The sequence below is a fragment of the Homo sapiens genome, chromosome 1, assembly GCF_000001405.40.
Source record: "Homo sapiens chromosome 1, GRCh38.p14 Primary Assembly".
Taxonomy (NCBI): Eukaryota; Metazoa; Chordata; class Mammalia; order Primates; family Hominidae; genus Homo; species Homo sapiens.
In genome coordinates this window covers 46564260-46584432 of record NC_000001.11, presented here as the reverse complement: position 1 = coordinate 46584432, position 20173 = coordinate 46564260, and the positions used below count along the sequence as shown (strand labels likewise).

The window sequence follows — 20173 nt, the reverse complement described above, 5'->3', positions numbered from 1 at the left end:
TATGCCCCATCAGCACTCGAGTGCCTCTATTTTAGAAGGATGTAAAGGTTTAATCACGCTGGTGGGGATTTAGACCCAGAGACTTCGGAGAAATCTTATTATTTCTAACTGCAGGCAAAGAGTATTAAAGCTCCACTCTGGATCAGGGGCATGACATGTTCTATAAGTAATTTATCTTTAACAGGGAAAGGCCCATACTAGAGTGTCTTAGAAACAGGACTGTGATTGGGCACTGGTTCACTGTTCCTCCTTTTCTCTTTCCTATCTCAGTGTCCTGCTTATTCTTTCCATCCGGACTTTTTCTGCCCAATCTGTGCAGTGTCTGAATGCCTGCCTCACAAATCCTCCTTTTAAGATTGGGAGCCAGGTGCTTGCCAATGAAAGATAATAAGGTTTTTTGCAATAAGTGACCTCATCCAGCAGCCTGGCACAGACCTGTCAACTGCCGACTTCTGAATGGGCACTACCTGCAGCCCTTCCGATGGAGGAGCTATGGGAGGAGAGGATGCCGTAGGCTCCATAGGCACTCAAGTCCGTGCTCTTGGACATGAAGTAATTTGGGGCTATTTTGAACCCCAGCCCTATTGCTACCTTCACAGAGGCTGTCTCCACTCCAGGCCATTTGTGCCCTGTGTGCATCCATAGCGATGTTGCTGAGCCTATGACTCATCTGCATGGTCCCCCACTCCCAACCCCCTTCTTGCCTAGCTCTCTCGGTTTTGCCTTTCTGATGCTGAGGCTGGAGGATGTCACAGGTGGGGTTCTGCCTATGGAGTCATTGTTCTGTTTGGGGAATATGGTTTGACCAGTGGCAGATCTAAATCCACGCGCTAATGAGCTTGGTTAAAGCAGGCTTCCGCTGGCCTCTTTTAATCTAGCCTGCCTGTCTGAGCTCCTTTCCACAGTTAATGATCTCCCATAATGGCTTTGCCTTTAGTTTTTCCTCCTAGGTCAAAACAAATCAATAGTCTTCACAGATATTTAAAAACCATCAGTGTAAACCTCCTGGGTCCTCCCCCACTACCTTTTTTTTTTCCTTCTGGGTAAATTTACAGCTTGATCAGTACAGTGATGTTTCCCTTACATCTCCTCTTATCTCCTAGAGATGGGCAGTAGCGAACCCCTTCCCATCGCAGATGGTGACAGGAGGAGGAAGAAGAAGCGGAGGGGCCGGGCCACTGACTCCTTGCCAGGAAAGTTTGAAGGTTGGTCACACAACTTCCCTATATCTGGGCCTGCAGCTTCCCAAGCATGGGAGGAGCATCCCGGGAGCCACAGGTCCGATCACAGAATGCGTCAAGTTAGAGCCAGATGGTGGTTATCTGTGTGGTAGGGAGATAAGATGGGGATGAGGGAGTTTACACAGGGCATTACAGAAAGAGAGCAGGGATGGAAAAAGCTCTCAGATGATGCACTGGCCTCCTGTGAATGGCTCAGGTACTGCTTCCTTTTCAGGGAGCAGGAAGACCCATCTATCAGTGGCATTGCCTGGGGTCTTCCTTTTTTCAGATGTGATTCTTCCCTCAGCTATTCCTGGAGGGGCTGCTGAGAGATAGAACTATATAAGAGGAAGAGAGAAACACCAAAGGCCATGGCCGCAAATGAAACTTCAGTCTCCTGTAAGCAGAGAATTTGTCTCTCAGATTGTAGCTACTTATGCTGTGTGTGTTTGACTACATTTTAAAGAATACGTGTTGTGTTCAGTAGAAACGATGTTGGGTCATCAGACATTTTTTGACACTCTCTGTGTGCGAGGCACTAGGCTCAGTGTGGGTCCTGTTATCACTGGGCATGTGATGGGGTGATTGGACACTTGTGCAAAGCACCAAGAGGATCAGTAGCTACTCCTAGGAGTAACGTGCCCCACTTCATCTGTTTTGTTTTCTTTCGTTGTGAGGTCTGAAGTAGCTTCGCCTCTTGGTCCCTCCTTCCAGCCTTCCAGACACACTAGTGAATTGGCTGTTCTGTAAAGTGGTTCCAATAACAAGCACTTTATCGGTTGGGAATATGGGACCTCCAGCCACCCACCTATCCTGATATGTGTAAAGGGCTAATGCCAATGTGTCCATTGTGAGAAGCATGTCATTTAAAACACTTACGAATAACAGTGTGCCATCTGCTCTTATAAACAACTGAAAGACCAAACCGTGATGGAACCAAGAAGGTACTTTCAGCAGGGGTTTTTTGTTTGCCTTTAACTCAAACAGCAGGGGTGTGTGTCTGTGTGTGTGTGTCTGTGTGTGTCAGGGTATGGGGATGGGGGAGAGACAAAGATCCCAAGGTATTCAAATAGTTTCCTAATCAACAGCTCTTTTGCTCTTTCAGTTAACACAAGAGAGTACTTCCTATTTTTAAGGACAGCTTGTGCAATGACAGGACTTCTCCTGACTGAGAGTGATAAAATCTAATTCATGGTTGAAATGTCTTCTGCTCAGGCTGTGGGTTTCAATGCTAGGTGCCTCAAGAGGAAAAGGCTGAAGAATGGAGGCCGAGTGGGGATGAGGTCAGGCAGCTAGTGCTGTGATGGAGATGTAGCCTCCTTTGGAAGGGGCTCAAAGAGCTGTGCTCTTTGTGAGCTTGGGCAGGTCATCTAGATGTTCCTTTAACCCAGGTCTATTACTCTGTTAGAACAACTATGACTCAGTACCCTAAAAACCTCAAGGTGTCCTTTGCATCCTACTTCTATTTCCTGTGGGTGACTTCTGGAGACTTCTCAGAAGCCTCCAATGACTTCCATGTATGGGGTATAAAATAGAACAGTGTTTTATTCTCCTTTGTATAGCCAGTGCTTACACAGAACTTGGCACATAATAGGTGCTCAGTAAATGAGTAAATGAATATTCATTCAAATCATACCACTTCTCCTCTGATGATCCTCCAGATTCTCTGACCAATTTTTTTTTTTTTTTTTTTTTTTTTTTTTTGATATGGGGTCTCACTCTGTCACCAGGCTGGAGTGCAGTGGCACGATCTTGGCTCACTACAACCTCCGCCTCTCGGGTTCAAGCGATTCTCCTGCCTCAGCCCCCGAAATAGCTGGGACTTTAGGCGCGTGCCACCACACCCAGCTAATTTTTGTATTTTTAGTAGAGACGGGGTTTCCCACATTGGCCAGGATGGTCTCGATTTCTTCACCTCTTGATCTGCCCACCTCGGCCTCCCAAAGTGCCGGGACTACAGGTGTGAGCCACCATGCCCAGCCTCTCTGAACAGATTTAACCCTTTCTTCCCCCAACTTTTTTTTTTAACTGTACTTTGTCCCTCTGTGATAGTATTTACCAATGCCTGGTTTATTCTGGGGTCACCTGTGTATGTGTCTGTCTTCCCCACTGGACTGCGACCCTTAGAGGAGAGGGATCATGCGTATATATATTTTAGAGATGGGGTCTTGCTATGTTGGCCAGATTGGTTCTGAACTCCTGGCCTCAAGCAATCCTCCTGGCTTGGCCTCCCAAAGTGCTAGGATTACAGGTGTAAGCCCCTGCACCTGGCCTTTATTTTATTCCTTACTCTGTTATGCTGTCTGGCACATAGTAGATATTCAGGAAGTATGTGCCGAATTGAGACCCTTTTGCTAACCTCATCGCTAAAATGAGGAACAGGATGCCTTGTATGTGGTCTTGTTGTTGAGAAACTGGGTCCTCAGGTGGCTGGGAAAGCTACTTGTCTTCCTTGTCACTGAGTGCTAGAGTCATTGGGTGCCTGTGTCGTCTGATCAGGGAAGCTGAGCCACAAAAGTTCTTCCCATCTGAGCTTGCAGTAGGGTGACTCATCTTGTTATTCCTCTCATCCATTTCACCTCTAGATATGTACAAGCTGACCTCTGAATTGCTTGGAGAGGGAGCCTATGCCAAAGTTCAAGGTGCCGTGAGCCTACAGAATGGCAAAGAGTATGCCGTCAAAGTGAGTGTCTCAGCTGAATGCCAGGCTTTACTTTGCAAATAGTCATTCCTAGCTCATCTTGAACCAAATAAATGTTATATTCCATAAGAATGGGGACTCTGAAGCTGTATTCACTGGATTCAAATCTTGGTTTCTCTACTTACTGTGTACCTCGGGCAAGTTACTTAACTTCTCTGTCCTTCAGTTTTCTCATCTGTAAAATGGGTATAATACTAGAACCTATGTAGAATTGTTGTGAGGATTAAATAAGTTAATATAGGTAAAGTGCTTAGCACAATGCCTGGCTCATAGTAAGTTTCTCATTATTCTGACAAATGAAGTCAGCTTCAGGGAGTGGACAACCAGATTTGGAATTAGAAGGCCTACCTGAATATCTATTTTGACAAACTATAACTGTTTGACTTTGGGCAAGTCATCAAATGTCCGTAAGCCTCAGTTCCTACATCTCTAAATGATGATACCTGCCCTTCAGTCTCCTGAGGCAGTTATGAAGATGAAAATTAAAATATCCTGGGAGAGGTGGAAACACTTTACACGTCACAAAATGCTATCCAAGTGTTAGATGTTAGCATGATAGTGAGGATTAAAAACTAAGGTGACTGATTTGGTAACATCTGAATGATGTCTCAGAAAAAAAAAATTAAAAGAAGAAAACAAAACTAAAGCGACTGAGCACTCAGTTTTGGGGCAGGAGAAGTGGCTTCTGGCCTCATTGCTGCCTTTAATTAGCTGTAAGGCCTTGGAGTGGCTCATGTCACCCCTCTGTGCCTCCACTTGCCCTCTCCACATGGAAGAAGAGCTGGATCTTGAGCAGTGGTTCTCAAAATGTGTGCCCTGGACCAGCCTCAGCATCGCTTGGGAACTTGTTAGAAATAGAAGCTACCTGGCCCTACCTGAGAAGTACCAACTCAGAAACAGGGGTGGGCCCAGCAATACAAATGTTAACAAACTCTCCTGGTGACTCTGACACTCACTAATCCTTGAGGACTACTGTTGTAGGAAGGGCAGTTGTGAATGCTACTATGTGTTAGAAGCCCTTAGAGCTCTAACAAAGCACACACAGATCCAGGTTTCCAGATGTAGGATAGGGTCTGGATCTCTGTGGCTTGACCAGATTCCCCACTTGAGTCTCATAGCCACCAAAGTTTGAGGACTAACTGACCTAGAGAAAGGGTCTTTTTAAATCCAAGCTGATTTCAAATCACCCACCTGAGCCACCAGGTCAAATGCCACCTCACATTGGCAATCCCAGCCCAGTGGGCTCCTGAAGGAAATGTTTTCTCTTCTTTGAACCAACTTTCCACAGTCCCAGCTGCGGGTTAGAAGGTTGAGCAAGTCTGCTAAGCCACGTTCCTTTCAGCTGGAGTATTGCTTCACATGGTAACAAGAGCACTGTCTTAATTTCTTTTGGGAAACAGCTCAGTATAAATTACAAGTGATTTTTAAAACATACGCCTAAGTGTAAATAGAAAAATTAGGCCAGGCATGTGGCTCACACCTGTAATCCCAGCACTTTGGGAGGCTGAGGCGGGCTGATCACCTGAGGTCAGGAATTCAAGACCAGCCTGGCCAACATGGTGAAACCCATCTCTACTAAAAATACAAAAATATTAGCCGGGTGTGGTGCATTCCTGTAATCCCAGCTACCTGGGAGGCTGAGGCAGGAGAATCCCATGAACCCGGGAGGTAGAGGTTGCACAGTGAGCCGAGATCACACCACTGCACTCCAGCCTGGGCGACAGAGCAAGACTCTGTCACAAAAAGAAAAAAAAAATGTTAGCCTGGTGTGGTGGCATGTGCGTCTAATTCCAGCTACCTGGGAGGCTGAAGTGGGAGGATCACTTGAGCCCAGGAGGCAAAGGTTGCAATGAGCCAGGATGGTGCCACTGCACTCCACCCTGGACAACAGAGGGAGACTCTGTCTCAAAAAAAAAAAAAAAAAATTGATATATCTGTCTAAATGCGGTAAAAACCACAAACATAAACTGATTTTCAAAGGTTTCAATACATTTATGGATGAGAGGTATATTTCTTCAAGGTTGGATAATGGGAGGAAAACCTGGCCCTTCCTCCACATCCCCCCTGGCATCTTTGAGGCAAACACTGGACTCTGGCTTGGCAATTCCTTGGTTTCAGCAGTTCTGCCCATGTTTCTTCTCTCCCCTACTCTTTCAAAGCTCCCTAGAGATGGGCTACTTCTCCCAACATGGCCCCACAATACTTAGCTTATTACAGCTTTTCCTATAGGCACCCAGCTGATCCTAGACTCTCAAGGTTGGGATGGAATTTCAAGATAACCCTGAATTTCCTCTGACTCCCCAGATAGTTGTCCATGTTCTGCTCCCCCATCTCTAGTAGCAAGAGCCCATTACTTCCTCAGAGAAGACTGTGCTGTGGAAGGCTTGCCTGCTAGAAAGTTCTTCATGACTTTGATCTGAAATGCTTGGGGAATGAAGTTGAATCACTTCTGTTCCCCAGCACTACACCTCTCCATTCAGATAATGGGCCCACTGTGGTTTACAAACAGACACACTTATTTAGAAAATTGCAGTTGGTCACAGATGTCTGTGCCACATCATATCGGAGAAGTTTGAAGTCTCAATGAAGGAAGAGGATGTCATTGTGCTGCCCACTGTGCACGTTGGAGCTGTAAGGCAGAGCTAGGCTCTGCAGATTTGCTCACAGGCTCGGTGTGCAGTGGTTTGAGGCTCCAGATGGGTCCAGAGAGCTTTGCAGAGGCAGCCAGTCCCTTTGGAAACCACCCTCCCATCTGTTGGCTTATCTGTTCCTTCAGTCAGCATTTGACAAGCATCTCAGGTAAAAGTGTGGAGGGGGAGCAGCCCACCGTATCACAGGAGAGACAAAGCCTCCAGGTCCTCGAAGAAGTTAGAGCATCTAAGCAGGTATGGGATAGCAAGGGCTTAGGAGTCAGCTCTGGACTGCAGGCAAATGTTTCATACCTCCCTATCTTTTGATGTTGTCATAAAGGTCAACTGAGATTATGTAAATAAATTATTATTGTTTATTTATTTATTTATTTATTTATTTTTTGAGATGGAGTCTCTCTGTTACTTAGGCTGGAGTGCAATGGCACAATCTCGGCTCACTGCAACCTCCGCCTCCCCAGTTCAAGTGACTATCCTGCCTCAGCCTCCTGAGTAGCTGGGATTACAAGCACCCACTACCACGCCTGGCTAATTTTTTTGTATTTTCAGTAGAGACGGGGTTTCACCGTGTTGGCCAGGCTGGTCTAGAACTCCTGACCTCAGGTGATCCACCCACCTCAGCCTCCAGAAGTGCTGGGATTACAGGTGTGAGTCACCACACCCGGCCGTAAATAAATCATTTAACACAGTATCTGCCAGAGAGTAAGTTCTCAGAAGAGGAAGAGCCTACTTCTGCCAGGGGGATCGTGGAGGCAGCCTCTGAGCTGGGTGTCAAAGCTTTAGCTCCTCGCCACGGTGTCCTGCATCAGCCTCTCCCTCCAGCATGAGAAGATCCTTCAGTAGATGCAGTAAATGCTTACCCTTAAGGCAGAAAGAGGTGTCCACAGGAGGTGGAGCTGAGTAAGGTAGCTCTTTGTCTTGCCGGCTGCCTCAGTCTCCCCTGGGCAGCTGGGGGCAGCAGCCTCATTCACTTCCTTGGTGTTGTGCTTGGCCAGAGTGGAATGGGCTCAGCTGAGCTGGAAAGCCCTGAGGCCAGTCTGCTGCTTTGCCAACAGAGCCACAGTGCCGGTGTCACCAAGGCCTAGGCCAGACTTCTGCTGGACACTGGATTTGGACTGAGTGTGGCCTTGCATTCTCCCAGAGGACTCCTGCCAAAGGGCTGTTTGGAAGTCAGGTGGGTGTACATGACAGATTTTATTCTTCCCACAGATCATCGAGAAACAAGCAGGGCACAGTCGGAGTAGGGTGTTTCGAGAGGTGGAGACGCTGTATCAGTGTCAGGGAAACAAGTGAGTATCATGTGATTCTCGCTGCTTCTCTGGGGGGACGCTTGGCCACAGAAGAGGAGGCTATTTCTTACCATCTCCTGACTCCAGCATTTAGCTCTCACTCCTGTCCCCACAAGGCAGGTACCTCCTTCCGCCCCTTTCAGTGTTAGGGAGAGAAAGGAAAAGCAGCAGTAACAGCAAAGGAGCTATTATCTCTTCTGAAATACTGTAAATATCATCAATTCAAGCAAGTTAGAAGAATGAACTATCTGAATCAGTGGTTGTTGGGGGGAAATGGGGTTTTATTTCTTTCGGTACCTGTGGAAACTAGGTTGACTGAGTGTTGCCTGGTAGAAATCTTTAAGGACTTGCCTTAATACCAAGATGAGGAGAACTGTTAAGAATATTTGCTGCTGTTTCTGCTCCTAGAATGTTTACATATGTGCAGATACCACTAAGATCCTGGAACCTTCCAGATAGCTGGGTCCGGCTCATCTCTAGCCCCAGTTCATTCTGCCCACCACCAGCTCCAAATGAGCAGCTCTCCCACTGTGGCTTTAAATCAGGGGCACCTCTAAGACTCCACTTCCCCCTCTCTCCCTCCACGGTAGGGTCAGCAGGGAGCCAGTGGCCTGGTATTGATGGCTTTGTCATTAAGCTTGGAGGATTGGAGGACGGGGGCTGCTGTTGATTTAACTCCAGGCACTGCCTCCACAATCTTCTTTCAAATTAGGCCATTTTGCCCATCTTATTTGGATGCCTTCACACTAGTAAAAGCCTCATATCTCCCAAAGTAGTCAGCATTTTTTTTATGAGGGACAGATTTTTATTTTCAGCCCTGCAGCTTCTTAGTTCAGCATTAGAGACTCTACTTGGTTTATTTTATTTTGTAAAAGAAAAAAAGCCCACAACACCTCCAATATCCAGGCTGGTGGCTTCCCTACTGAGTTACAAGACGACCTTGTTGGCAGAGCACTGAAATACTCGGGCAGACAGAGAGTGCTCACCGGGGAAGGCCACAAGTGCTACAGTGGCCAGGAACGCGGCCGTTTCATTAAGCAGCGCTTAGCAGTTAGGGTCTAGCGGTGCCCATGTTAGGCCCCAAGTCCATTTGACAGATGTTTCCATTTTCTCCAGGCAATGTAAATACTGCCCCGTGATTTATGGGCAAGAGGGAGGGCAAGTAATTATTTGCTGCTTGCCTCCAGGACACACACCTAGTATTCAGTGTTATTAGCCGCAATTGCTTCCAGTCGGCTGCAGATTTTATTCAGTTTAATGTGACCGGGACTTTTTTATAACTCTACCTAGTGGGTTTTAGGGCTGGGGTTTGACAGCACAGACTTGGTGAAAACACCAGAGACTAAACATTATGGAAAGATAAGGTGACCTGAATCTTGCTAACACCATTGGCTGCTTCCATACGCGGGTCTTTAATAAGCATTCTGATTTCAAGTTGGTTTCTGCCCCACTACCAGGTGTTGTATATTTTTTTCATTGTATATTTGTAAGTAGACTTTAATATATAATACCATTTCCCCCCTTTTCCCTCTCCTCCTATTTTCCCTATTTAAGGAACATTTTGGAGCTGATTGAGTTCTTTGAAGATGACACAAGGTTTTACTTGGTCTTTGAGAAATTGCAAGGAGGTACTTACCGTTGAGTATGTGTGTGGACTTCTGATTAAGACCCAGGGTGGTGATCATCCATCATGAATCCCAGAGACTTCCAAAACGAGTCAAGCTAATAAAAAGGATGAAGGACTTAAAAACTGCCCTTGATTTGGGAGAAGGGAGGCCGGAGGGAAGGATGATAATTAGCATTTTGCAGAGCTTAGAATGTCACCTGTGTGGGTATTTTATAAATGCCTTTTCATTATAATAGGAGTCATATATAGATACATTTAGTCATCGATTTATCAATCCCGTTTTGACATGTTCACTGTTTAACTACATTAATTATGGGGTGGAAGCTCTCAAATACATTGCGAAGTCTAGAAAGGCTAAAACAGAGGAGAGGAGGGTCCTATTGTTTGGGACACAGACCCAGGATAAAGGGGAAGCCTGAGAATGTGCCATCCTTCAGATGGAAAGATGCCATCACCCACACACATAATCACTGGGGTGTATACTTAAGTTGCTTTTCTGACATAATGAGGTGGGGTAGAGAAACCCTTTCCCTTCCCATCACTCCCCCAATCTTAGGACACACTTGCAGGGATGTCTGGAACTGCATGGAGGGCCACACGGAGGGGCTTGGTGGTTGAGGGAGCGTGCTTTAGAAACCAACACAGCTAAAGCTTATGTTATGTCTAGCTGCATCACTTACTAGCCATGTGATCTTGGGCAAGTCACTTAACCTTTTCTAAACAATATTCCCTTCTATAAAATAGAGATATTGATAGCACCTACCTCACTGGGTTGCTGTGAAGATTAAATGAGATAATTCATGTGAAATGCTTAGGACAGTGTCTGGTAGGCACTAAGGGCCCAATAAATGTTGGCTGCTAATATTATTAAAACAATTTGGTATGCTGGGGGATGTCTTAGAAGTATGTAGAGTAGACCAGGTACAGTGGCTCACGCCTATAATCCCAGCACTTTGGGATGCCAAGGTGGGCAGATCACTTGAGGTCAGGAGTTCAAGACCAGCCTGGCCAACATGGTGAAACCCGGCTCTACTAAAAATACAAAAATTAGCTGGGTGTGCTGGCACATGCCTGTAATCCCAGCTACTCAGGAGGCTGAGGCAGAAGAATCGCTTGAACCTGGGAGGCAGAGGTTGCAGTGAGCCGAGATCGCACCACTACACTCCAGCCTGGGCAACAGAGTGAGACTCTGTCTCAAAAAAAAAAAAAAAAAAGTATGTAAAGCATTATTCTCTGCTTTTCCTTTTAACAGATTTGGAAACGAGGCTCACTACAGCAGAGCAAGCTAGGACCTAGTCATGAGCCGGTTTTCTGGGAATGTTCCCTAGCACATTGGGATCCGTTGTTTAATCTGGCAAGCGAACAATCTTTGGCAGTTCTTCCCCTTCTCTCATGCCCTCCCCATCCCCCCTAAAAAACAGTAGACATGTGCCATTTTTAGGACAGAGAGATAATACCTTCAGCCCAGAAATGCTGGCTTCTAGTAGTAAACATAAACCACATGAAGCCAAGCCACATGTTCCTGCCTGTGTCTGCCCCTGCACCACCCAATAACACATGACTGACTGTTAATTACATGTTTGAAATGCTACATGCAGATGGGATCCTCTGTCGCCATATCAGTAAACTTAATGTAGCTTATTGAGGCCAGACCCAGTGTGGTTGGCTCAAGAGAGTCCATCCCTGCAGCAGTCAGACCACAAGTCCTGCTGGGGGATGTCTGCACAGACTCGGAGGCCTGACTGACGCCCTGGGCCTAAGTCCTGGCCTCACCCCTTACTGGTGCGTAATCTTGGGCAAGTTGCTCAACCATTTTTCTTTTTGGCTTCAGGATCTCCCTCTGTAAAACGAGAATAAGTGTACTACCCATTTTGTCCAATTGTGGTGAGAATAAGACAGTTTATTTCAAGAGTATTCCATAGCACATGGCACTAGTAACTACTCAGTAAATGTTAGCCATTGCCAACAAAACAATAATGAATGGGAAAGCTCAGGCGGAAAACCCATTTTTCCCCCCTTTTCCCAGGCCTTTACATGTCTGGCAAGGGTGTGGCATTTCCATTTGAAAGTTTGTGCTCTTGTTTGGATCAGAGATCAGATGCAGGGGAGAAAACGTTGCTGCAGAAAGGCCCCCTCAGCTCCAAGTGCCTTCAGTTTTATTCCTTTTGATTGCAGAAGCCAAATCAGCCTCAGCATCATTAGTGTTTTTTGGCCCTATTTATAGTTGTTCTCTCTCGCTTCTGAGCTCCTCATAGACAGGTACAGAAGAGAGTAGTCCAGTTTTGTTTAACAGACATACAAGCTGGTACCTCCTCCGTACCAGGCCCCACACTTGGAGCTGGACAGGTAGTGATGAGTCAGCGATGAATCCCTATGTCCCCACCCCAAGTTTTCCAAACTTGGGAAAACTTGGCCTCTAAGAAGTTATACGGCCAGGCGCAGTGGCTCACGCCTGTAATCCCAACAGTTTGGGAGGCTGAGGCAGGCGGATCACTTGGTCGGGAGTTCGAGACCAGCCTGACCAACATGGTGAAACCCCATCTCTACTAAAAAAAAAAAGTACAAAAATTAGCTGGACATGGTGGTGCCTGCCTGTAATCCCAGCTACTCAGGAGGCTGAGACAGGAGAATCGCTTGAACCCGGAGGCGGAGGTTGCAGTGAGCCGAGATCGTGCCACTACTCTCCAGCCTGGGTAACAGAGTGAGACTTCGTCTAAAAAAAAAACTTATACTTACTAGAGCCCAAAAAGGCATTCTTCTATGTCCCCTCTGCTCCCCAGGTTCCATCTTAGCCCACATCCAGAAGCAAAAGCACTTCAATGAGCGAGAAGCCAGCCGAGTGGTGCGGGACGTTGCTGCTGCCCTTGACTTCCTGCATACCAAAGGTGAACCCAGCCTTTGCCTTGGTGGGTGGGTTGGGCTGGCCAGCCTCTGGGTACCAAGGGAGGTGGTAGGCCAGGCAGAGGGCTGGTGCAGGAGATGGTGTGGCTGGAAGGCAGCTTGAGGTGTGAACATGCTCACCCATGGGAGTTGAGGGAGAAACAGTCCAGGATGGCTCCTAGGCTTATGCTGCGGATGGTGGGTGGGTGGTGAAGCTGTTGAGCAGCACAGGGATACAGGAGAAAGAGCAGGGAGGAGAAAGAATAAATTTCACATTGAACAGGGTATGTGTGACTGTGTGTGGATGATGTTTCTTTTCTTAGATTCTTATCGTGTGAGGAATATAAAGCTCATACACAATACAACCTTCTTAGTGTGAATATCTTGATGTTATTCCTTCTAGTCTTAAAATATACATCACCTCTGTCTCTTTTCAAAATTGGCATGATAGGATATATGTAGTTTAATATATCTTGTTCACAGTAAATGAAAAATCTATTTTTCTTTTTCCTTTTTTTTCCTTTTTAGACAAAGTCTCTCTCTGTCACCTAGGCTGGAGTGCTATGGCGCCATCAGGGCTCACTGCAGCCCCAACCTCCCTGGGCTCCAGTGATCCTCCCACCTCAGCCTCCCAAGTAGCTGGGACTACAGGTGTGTGCCACCACCTGGAAATTTTTGTATTTTTTTGTAGAGATGGGGTCTCCCTCTGTTGCCCAGGCTGGTCTCAAACTCCTGGGCTCAAGCGATCCTCCTGCCTCAACCTCCCAAAGTGCTGGGATTACAGGTGTGAGTCACTGTGCCCAGCTTATACTTTTCTATTAACATGTACATTTGAGGTATCTGTTGAAAAGCACATTGGTAACTCACAGGTTACTAGTATTTGATTTACGCTTCAGGTTACAGCCCCTTTCCTATGACTGATTATTCAGGAACTTTTGTAGTGAATTAAATCTTTCCACAAATTGTTTTTACATTTCCATAAATCTGTTTGACTATTACATACTTTTTTTTAAATTTGCCTAACAGCAGTACCCTGGAAAAAATGAATTCTGGTTTCACTTTTCTTCTAGCTATGTGTTCTCTCAGTAATAATGCCTACCCTATGGTGAGAATTTGAGATAATAACATCATCGACTGTAGTTAACACTATATAGCACTTGGTATGTGCTAGGCACTATTCTAAGCTTTTTATAGATGAAAAATGTGTATCTTGTGTTTGTATTGTATATGTGCAGCATAGATGGAGCATAGTTCCTGGTATGTCATAGTTCTTCAATAAATAACGATTTCCTCCATCCTCACCTCCCACCAGGAAGAAAGCATTTTTATTCCTAATATTAATTCCCTTAAAGCATTCTGCCTGTTGGGGGTGGGAGTGAAATGAATAACTTGTGACTTAGGTCTGCCCCCTCTGCTGTTGCGGATGTTGGCCAGCCATGTTGGTTGTGGGTGCCCGGGACCAGTGGTAGGCATGCCACTCACACATCCCACCTGGTGCCCACAATCCGGTGCAGACCAGTGTGGCGCATGTCCAGGAGGTTCAGGTTCATTGACCCCACCTCCCTCCTCCAGTGGCTGAAAGAGGTCTGCATACTGACAGTGCCCATGTTGGGGCCCTGACTTGCACCTAGGATGAAAACTAGAAGGGGGTGTCTGTACCTTCCGCAGCATGATGAATAGCATCAGCTCTGTTTCTGAAAGCTGGGATGCATAGAGGTAACACCTGCCTGACAAAGATTTACAACTGCTCCCCAAGCTGCCTCTGTAGATTGCAAAACTGGGTCACGCTTTTTACAAGATCCACACCTTGGAGGGGGTGGTAAAGGCAGGTTTTATTATTTATTTATTTACAAGAATGCACTGAAGGGAACAGAGGCCGGTGGTGTCTTAGGAGTTCTGAGGCGCTTGTTAACATGTAGCTGGCCAGCTGCCCATGTGACTAGAAGTTGGAGGGGATGAAAAACGATTTCCAGCTGAACTTGGCTGTTTGCTAAATAACTTCACACGGGGAAGATGAATTGGGCAAGAATGGGTCAGCCCTGAAACAAGTTCCATACTTTTAAATACTGGACACACTGCAGCTCAACCTCTGGGAAATGAACCGGAGCAGCTCGATGGCTGCTGTGCTCACACGGCAGCCCCATTATTACAGCCTGGCTCTCTGAGTTCTTAGGCTAAGGGACGACTGGGCCATGGGCGCCTATTTGGAGAGTAAGGCTCCGTGTGTGGCTCGTGATCCTTCTGTGGGAGCACTTGCTGTAATGGAAAATATCTTCCACTTTTAGTGCAGCGAGCTGCAGAGCAGTGCTACTCAATTTGTGCAGCCTGGACTGAGTTGCTCTGGGTTCTCGTTCAATTAGGTGACTGATGAAGTTACTGAGCTTGCTGGAGCTCAGGTTTTTCTTCTTTAGTGAAGTGCCTCCCGTGGCCTGGGCCAGGCTTTTGCCTTCTAGTCGGGAATCGGAGGACTGCTGAAAAAGTTGATCACCGACGGAGTTTTAGTGAAGCAGATTTTGCTTTTCCCATCACCCCGAGAATCCGCTGCCGCTTTCCAATACTTCCAACTGTAGCTCTGACTCTTGCTCAGCCTTCCAGCCCTGTCTCTGTGCTGCATGTGCTGTGGAAGGAAAGACAAAAGGGAGGTTTCTGTGTCCTCCACCAAAACACCATGACCCAGAGTTAGTTCTTTGTCCCTTTCTTTGGTTAGAAGAGGGCTCTCCCCGAGGTGCCTTCTTGGCCAGGTCAGCAGGTTAACCCCTCATGGGCTAAGCTGCTATCTCCAGTCGCCTTCAGGAGGCCTGGCCAAAGTGCAGAGGTTTTCTCTTAAAAACAGCAACCCTCAGTGGGCCTAGCGAGGTGGCTCACACCTGTAATCCCCATGCTTAGGGAGGCCAAGGGAGGAGGATTGCTTAAGGCCAGGATTTCAAGAACAGCCTGGCTATAGCGAGACTCCATCTCTATTTTAAAAAACAAAAATAACAGCATCCTGGTGCCAAAGCGGTCTTTGCTCTGCTGCTGGCAGGGCTGCCTTAGACATGCAAAGCAGGTGAGAAGGGAATAGGTCACTTTGGGAGATTTGGTAACTAACACTTGCTCCTCTGAACATTCAGACAGTCGCACTGAAGGAATTTTTTTTTTTAAATCGGCCACACAAGAAGAAATGAGGTAGAGCAGTTAAGCCCCCTGAGATGCTCTTAAACAAGGCACTAATTATTTCTGCATTGCTGTTCCAAGCATTGCCGTTTGCAGAGCTCTCTGCTCTGCTCTGCATTAGGCCTTCTTCTTGGTGGTCACTGTGGTACTGAGGGGTAGGCTGGCTGGGATTCATTTAGCCCTTCTTATCCCTGCCAGACTTCTAAAGCCTCCTCTTCAAAAGAACCCGCAGAATCAACTGTGCTTTTGGTTTGTGTCGCTGGTTACTTCTGCCTCCTGCAGCTCGTTGATTTTTTAATGTACCATAATTGGGAATTAATCTGCGAACTACAGCATTTGGAAAAAATTAATTGTGTGTGGAATGTTTGATAATTATCTGCATATGTTAACCATTTTTTTGCTCTTTGTCATGTCAGGCATTGCTCATCGTGATCTGAAACCAGAAAATATATTGTGTGAATCTCCAGAAAAGGTACTTTGGGCCTGATTTGGAATGTTATAGTTTATACTTACCGAGGAAGCCACCCTTGCTTTCAGGATGGATTGTTAGCAGTTCCGTTGGCCTCAGACACCAACTTGAACTGATCGTCTTGGACATGTGAGAATGTTACACTTACTGTGTGATGTTTCTGCCCATCCTCGTCCTTTCTTCGCTCTTGATCATCAGTGTGATTGATGTAAGCCTGAGAGTTTGGAAAATATATGAGACCTGCACAAAATTAATATTTTCTAGTCCAATGCATCTATCTTTATATCAGTTGATGGAAGTCGTAAATACTTTTTTTTTTTTTTTGAGACGGGGTCTCACTTTGCCACCCAAGCTGGAATGCAGTGGCATGATCACAGCTCACTGCAGCCTCGACTTCCCAGGCTCAAGTGGTTCTCCCACCTCAGCCCCCCAAGTAGCTGAGACAACAGGCATGTGCCACCACACCTGGCTAATTTTTGTATTTTTAGTAGAGACAGGGGTTTCACCATGTTAGCCAGGCTGGTCTCGAACTCCTGAGCTCAAGCAGTCCACCTGCCTTGGCTTTCCAAAGTACTGGGATTGCAAACGTGAGCCACCATGCCCAGCCAAACAACTTAATCTTATGTGAAGCAGATCTCTTTAAGTAAACGGAAGTGTATGAATTTGACAAATTCTGTGTTTATTAGGAGAGATTTAGGCACTGGTGGTGTTGGGGCCCACGTTCACAGCTCTGCGTGTATATACATGTGTGTATTCAAGAGCATATATATTGTGGTCTGGATGAAGCCGCGGCTCATAAATAAGGGGTGGCCTTGAATGAATGAGTCAGTCTGCTACTCACAACTCTTTTATGGGGAATAATAATGGATTCGCTCAAATAAGATCTTGTGACTTCTGTCACTGATTCTGTCGTAGACCTTTATAATTTATCATTATTATGATGATTACTACTAATAATTACAGTGAACACTTCTTGAGTGCTTACATTGTGCCAGGCACTTATATTTATTTAGTGTTTATGAAATATCATGAGGTAGATACTATTATTACCTTCATTTTATGGACGAGGAAACTGAAACTCAAGTTAGGAAACATGTATAGCCAGTGAGCCATGATTGCACCACTGCACTCCAGCCTGGGCAGCAGAGATTCTGTCTCATAACAAGAACGTGAGGAAAGGCAAGGCGAAAGAGAGGAATAATTGGGACCAGGCAGTGGCTCACGCCTATAATCCCAACACTTCGGGAGGCTGAGGCAGGAGGATCCCTTGAGGCCAGGAGCTTAAGAACAGCCTGGGCAACAAAGCGAGACCCCATCTCCACAAAAAATTTAAAAATTAGCTGGTCACAGCGGTTGCATGCCTGTAGTCCCAGCTACTCAGGAGGCTGAGGTAGGAGAATTGCTTGAGCCTGGAGTTTGAGGCCAGCCTGGGTGATATAGTGAGACCCCTGTCTCTTAAGAAAAAGAGAGGTTAAGTTTCAAAGGACATTATCTATCAAGAAAGTGAAAAGACAATCTACAGAATGTGAGAAAATATTTGCAGATCATATATCTGGTCAAGGTTTAATATCCAAAATATATAAAGGATTCCTAAAACTCTACAACAAAAAGACAAACCAATTTAAAAATGGACACGGGACTTGAACAGACATTTCTCCAAATAAGGTACACAAATGTCCAACAAGTACATGAAAAGATGCTCAACATCCTTAGTCATTAGGGAAATGCAAGTCAAAACCACAATGAGATACCACCACATACTACTAGGTAGGCTGTAATTTAAAAAATGGAAAATAGTAAGTGTTGTTACGGTTATGGAGAAATCGTAACCCTCATACATTGCTGGTGAGATTATATAATGGTGCAGCTTCTGTGGAAAAGTTTGGCGGTTCCTCAAAGGCTAAACACAGAATTACCATATGACCCAGCAATTCCACTCCTAGGTATTACCCAAAACAATTGAAAACAGATACTTGTATAGCAGTATTCATTACAGCATTGTTCACAACAGCCAAAAAGGTAGAGACAACTCAAGTGGTCATCAGCAGCTGAACAGATAAACAAAATGTGGTACATACATTCAATGGAATACTAGTCAGCCATAAAATGGAATGAGGTTTTGATACATGCTGCAACATGAATGAACCTTGAAAACATTATGCTAAGTGAAATAAGCCAAACATAACAGGACAAATATTGTGTAAATCTACTTATATGAAATATCTGGAATGGGCAAATTAATAAAGACAGAAAGTCTTAATTAATAAAGTCAGATTGGAAGTTACCCAGGGCTAGGGGAAGAAAGAATGGGAGTTATTGCTTAATGCGTATAGAGTTTCTGTTTGGAGTGATGGAAAAGTTTTAGAAACAGATCGTGGTGATGGTTGCACAACCCTGTGAATGTACTTAATTAATACCACTAAACTGTCTACTTAAAAATGGCTAAAATCTCATATTTTATGCTTTATATTTTACCACTAATAAGAGGCTAAAGGAAAAAGAAAAGAAGAAAAAATAGAGAAAAGGGGAGGGAGGAAGGAAGGGGAGAAAGAAGTCGAGGGACTTGCCCAGGCTTCCCGGCAAGGACATGGGTCTCAGAGAACCAGCATTTAGTTCACTCGCTGTGCTGCTTACATGCCATGTAGGCCATTCTCATCCATTCTCATGTGTGCACCCAAACTGCCTTCCTGGTTGGCTCCAGAGATGAGGCACCTGTCTGTGGTCTCAGGCACAGCATCCAGTTCTGGTGGACTTGGTTACTGTGTTGATGCCACCTACGGTGACCAACCATCCCAGTTTTCCCAGGCTTGAGGGGTTTCCTGGAACGCAGGAGTTTCCGTGTTTAAACTGATCAAGTCCCAAGCAAGCCACCCAAGACAAGTTGGTCACCCTAAGCCACCTGAGGCGGTCAGAGGTTTTACTGCAAGCTCCTTTACACTCCACTGAATGGGCTGCAAGAAGTCTGTCTCTCAGGAGTACACAGTAACTTCCCTAGCTGCTGTGCTGCAACCTGTACCATCATTTGCCAGCAAGAGTTCCATACTTCCTTTAGTCTGAGTTCACAATAATCTGACACCAAATAGTCCACCCATTTTTCCCTTAGATGGGAAATAAGAGAGCTCAGGGAATAAGACACTTGGGAAGAAATCCTCAGGGGACTTCTTGTTAACCTCCGGAGAGCAAACATGACCTGACAAAACCAGCTGCGGTGTGACAGCCACGGAGCCATGCACCCGTACAGCCATGCCTGGCTCCTCTTGCCCCGTAGTTTCTTATATCTGTGACCCTGTCTTCTGTTTTCCTTTTCAGGTGTCTCCAGTGAAAATCTGTGACTTTGACTTGGGCAGTGGGATGAAACTGAACAACTCCTGTACCCCCATAACCACACCAGAGCTGACCACCCCAGTACGTATGCTTCCTCTGGGCTCCTAAGTATTTGGAGTGTTTCCCTGATCCAGAGCTGGGAGGTCCAGAACAGAGGGTTAAGGATGGAAAACCAAGTGGACCTATCTTCCTGCTGCCTGAGTGATCATTTTGCTTGCTGCTCTGTGTTCGTGGCTCTCAAGCCTCCCCTGACCCCTTAGTTGCTAACGAAACTGACACTTGGACTGTTAGTTGGGTTGGGTCCTCTCTGCTGATGAAGAGACAAATTATATCTATAAGCACAGGCTGGCCGTTTGCAATGGCTCATGCCTGTAATCCTAGCACTTTAGGAGGTTGAGGCAGGCAGATCACCTGAGGTCAGGAGTTTGAGACCAGCCTGACCAACATGGAGAAACCCCATTGTACTGAAAATACAAAATTAGCCAGGCATGGTGGCGCGCACCTGTAATCCCAGCTACTTGGGAGGCTGAGGCAGGAGAATCGCTTGAACCCGAGGGGTGGAGGTTGCGGTGAGCCGAGATAGCACCATTGCACTCCAGCCTGGGCAACAAGAGCAAAACTCCGTCTCAAAAAAAAAAAAAAAAAAAAAAAAAAACAATAAAAAAAACACAGGCTGAGCCCTGACTCCTGACCCAGGTGAAAATGGACCCTACTCCCAGGCCAGCCCTTTTGCATATGAGCATTTGGGTAGTTCTGTAAGTCCTATTCCCACTGCTGAAGGCACAGCGCAGCCCCCTTGTAATGGGGGATGGAGAGCTGTTCTCCCTGACTGGACAGGATAGTCTCTCTGTGGTGGGAACTG

The 20173-nt window shown here is 46.1% G+C and overlaps 1 protein-coding gene and 1 long non-coding RNA gene across 31 annotated transcripts in view; one reads left to right on the top strand and one right to left on the bottom strand.

The window, feature by feature from the left end:
• Nucleotides 1-20173, top strand: part of MKNK1 (MAPK interacting serine/threonine kinase 1) — a 46862-nt gene that overhangs the window by 19836 nt on the left and 6853 nt on the right. For 18 of the 30 annotated variants that reach the window (NR_146512.2, NM_198973.5, NM_001377373.1 and 15 more), the window contains 7 exons: nt 1104-1205; nt 3806-3903; nt 7779-7858; nt 9413-9486; nt 12266-12370; nt 15935-15990; nt 19297-19392. Coding sequence is in view for 26 of the 30 variants with exons in the window: in NM_001377341.1 (NP_001364270.1) it covers nt 1104-1205; nt 3806-3903; nt 7779-7858; nt 9413-9486; nt 12266-12370; nt 15935-15990; nt 19297-19392 (611 nt within the window). In the remaining 4 variants the exon portion in view is untranslated. Of the gene's footprint in view, nt 1-1103; nt 1206-3805; nt 3904-7778; nt 7859-9412; nt 9487-12265; nt 12371-12893; nt 13017-15934; nt 15991-19296; nt 19393-20173 lie in introns of all 30 variants that reach the window. The other 12 variants (NM_001377343.1, XM_047433047.1, XM_047433053.1 and 9 more) reach the window with 4 other exon arrangements.
• The window catches only part of MKNK1-AS1 (MKNK1 antisense RNA 1), a 31560-nt gene continuing 25564 nt past the window's right edge, over nt 14178-20173 (bottom strand). The window contains exons 7-8 of the long non-coding RNA NR_038403.1: nt 16136-16227; nt 14178-15951 (exon numbers count right to left, since the gene is read on the bottom strand). This is a non-coding gene — a long non-coding RNA (MKNK1 antisense RNA 1). The remainder of the gene's footprint in view (nt 15952-16135; nt 16228-20173) is intronic.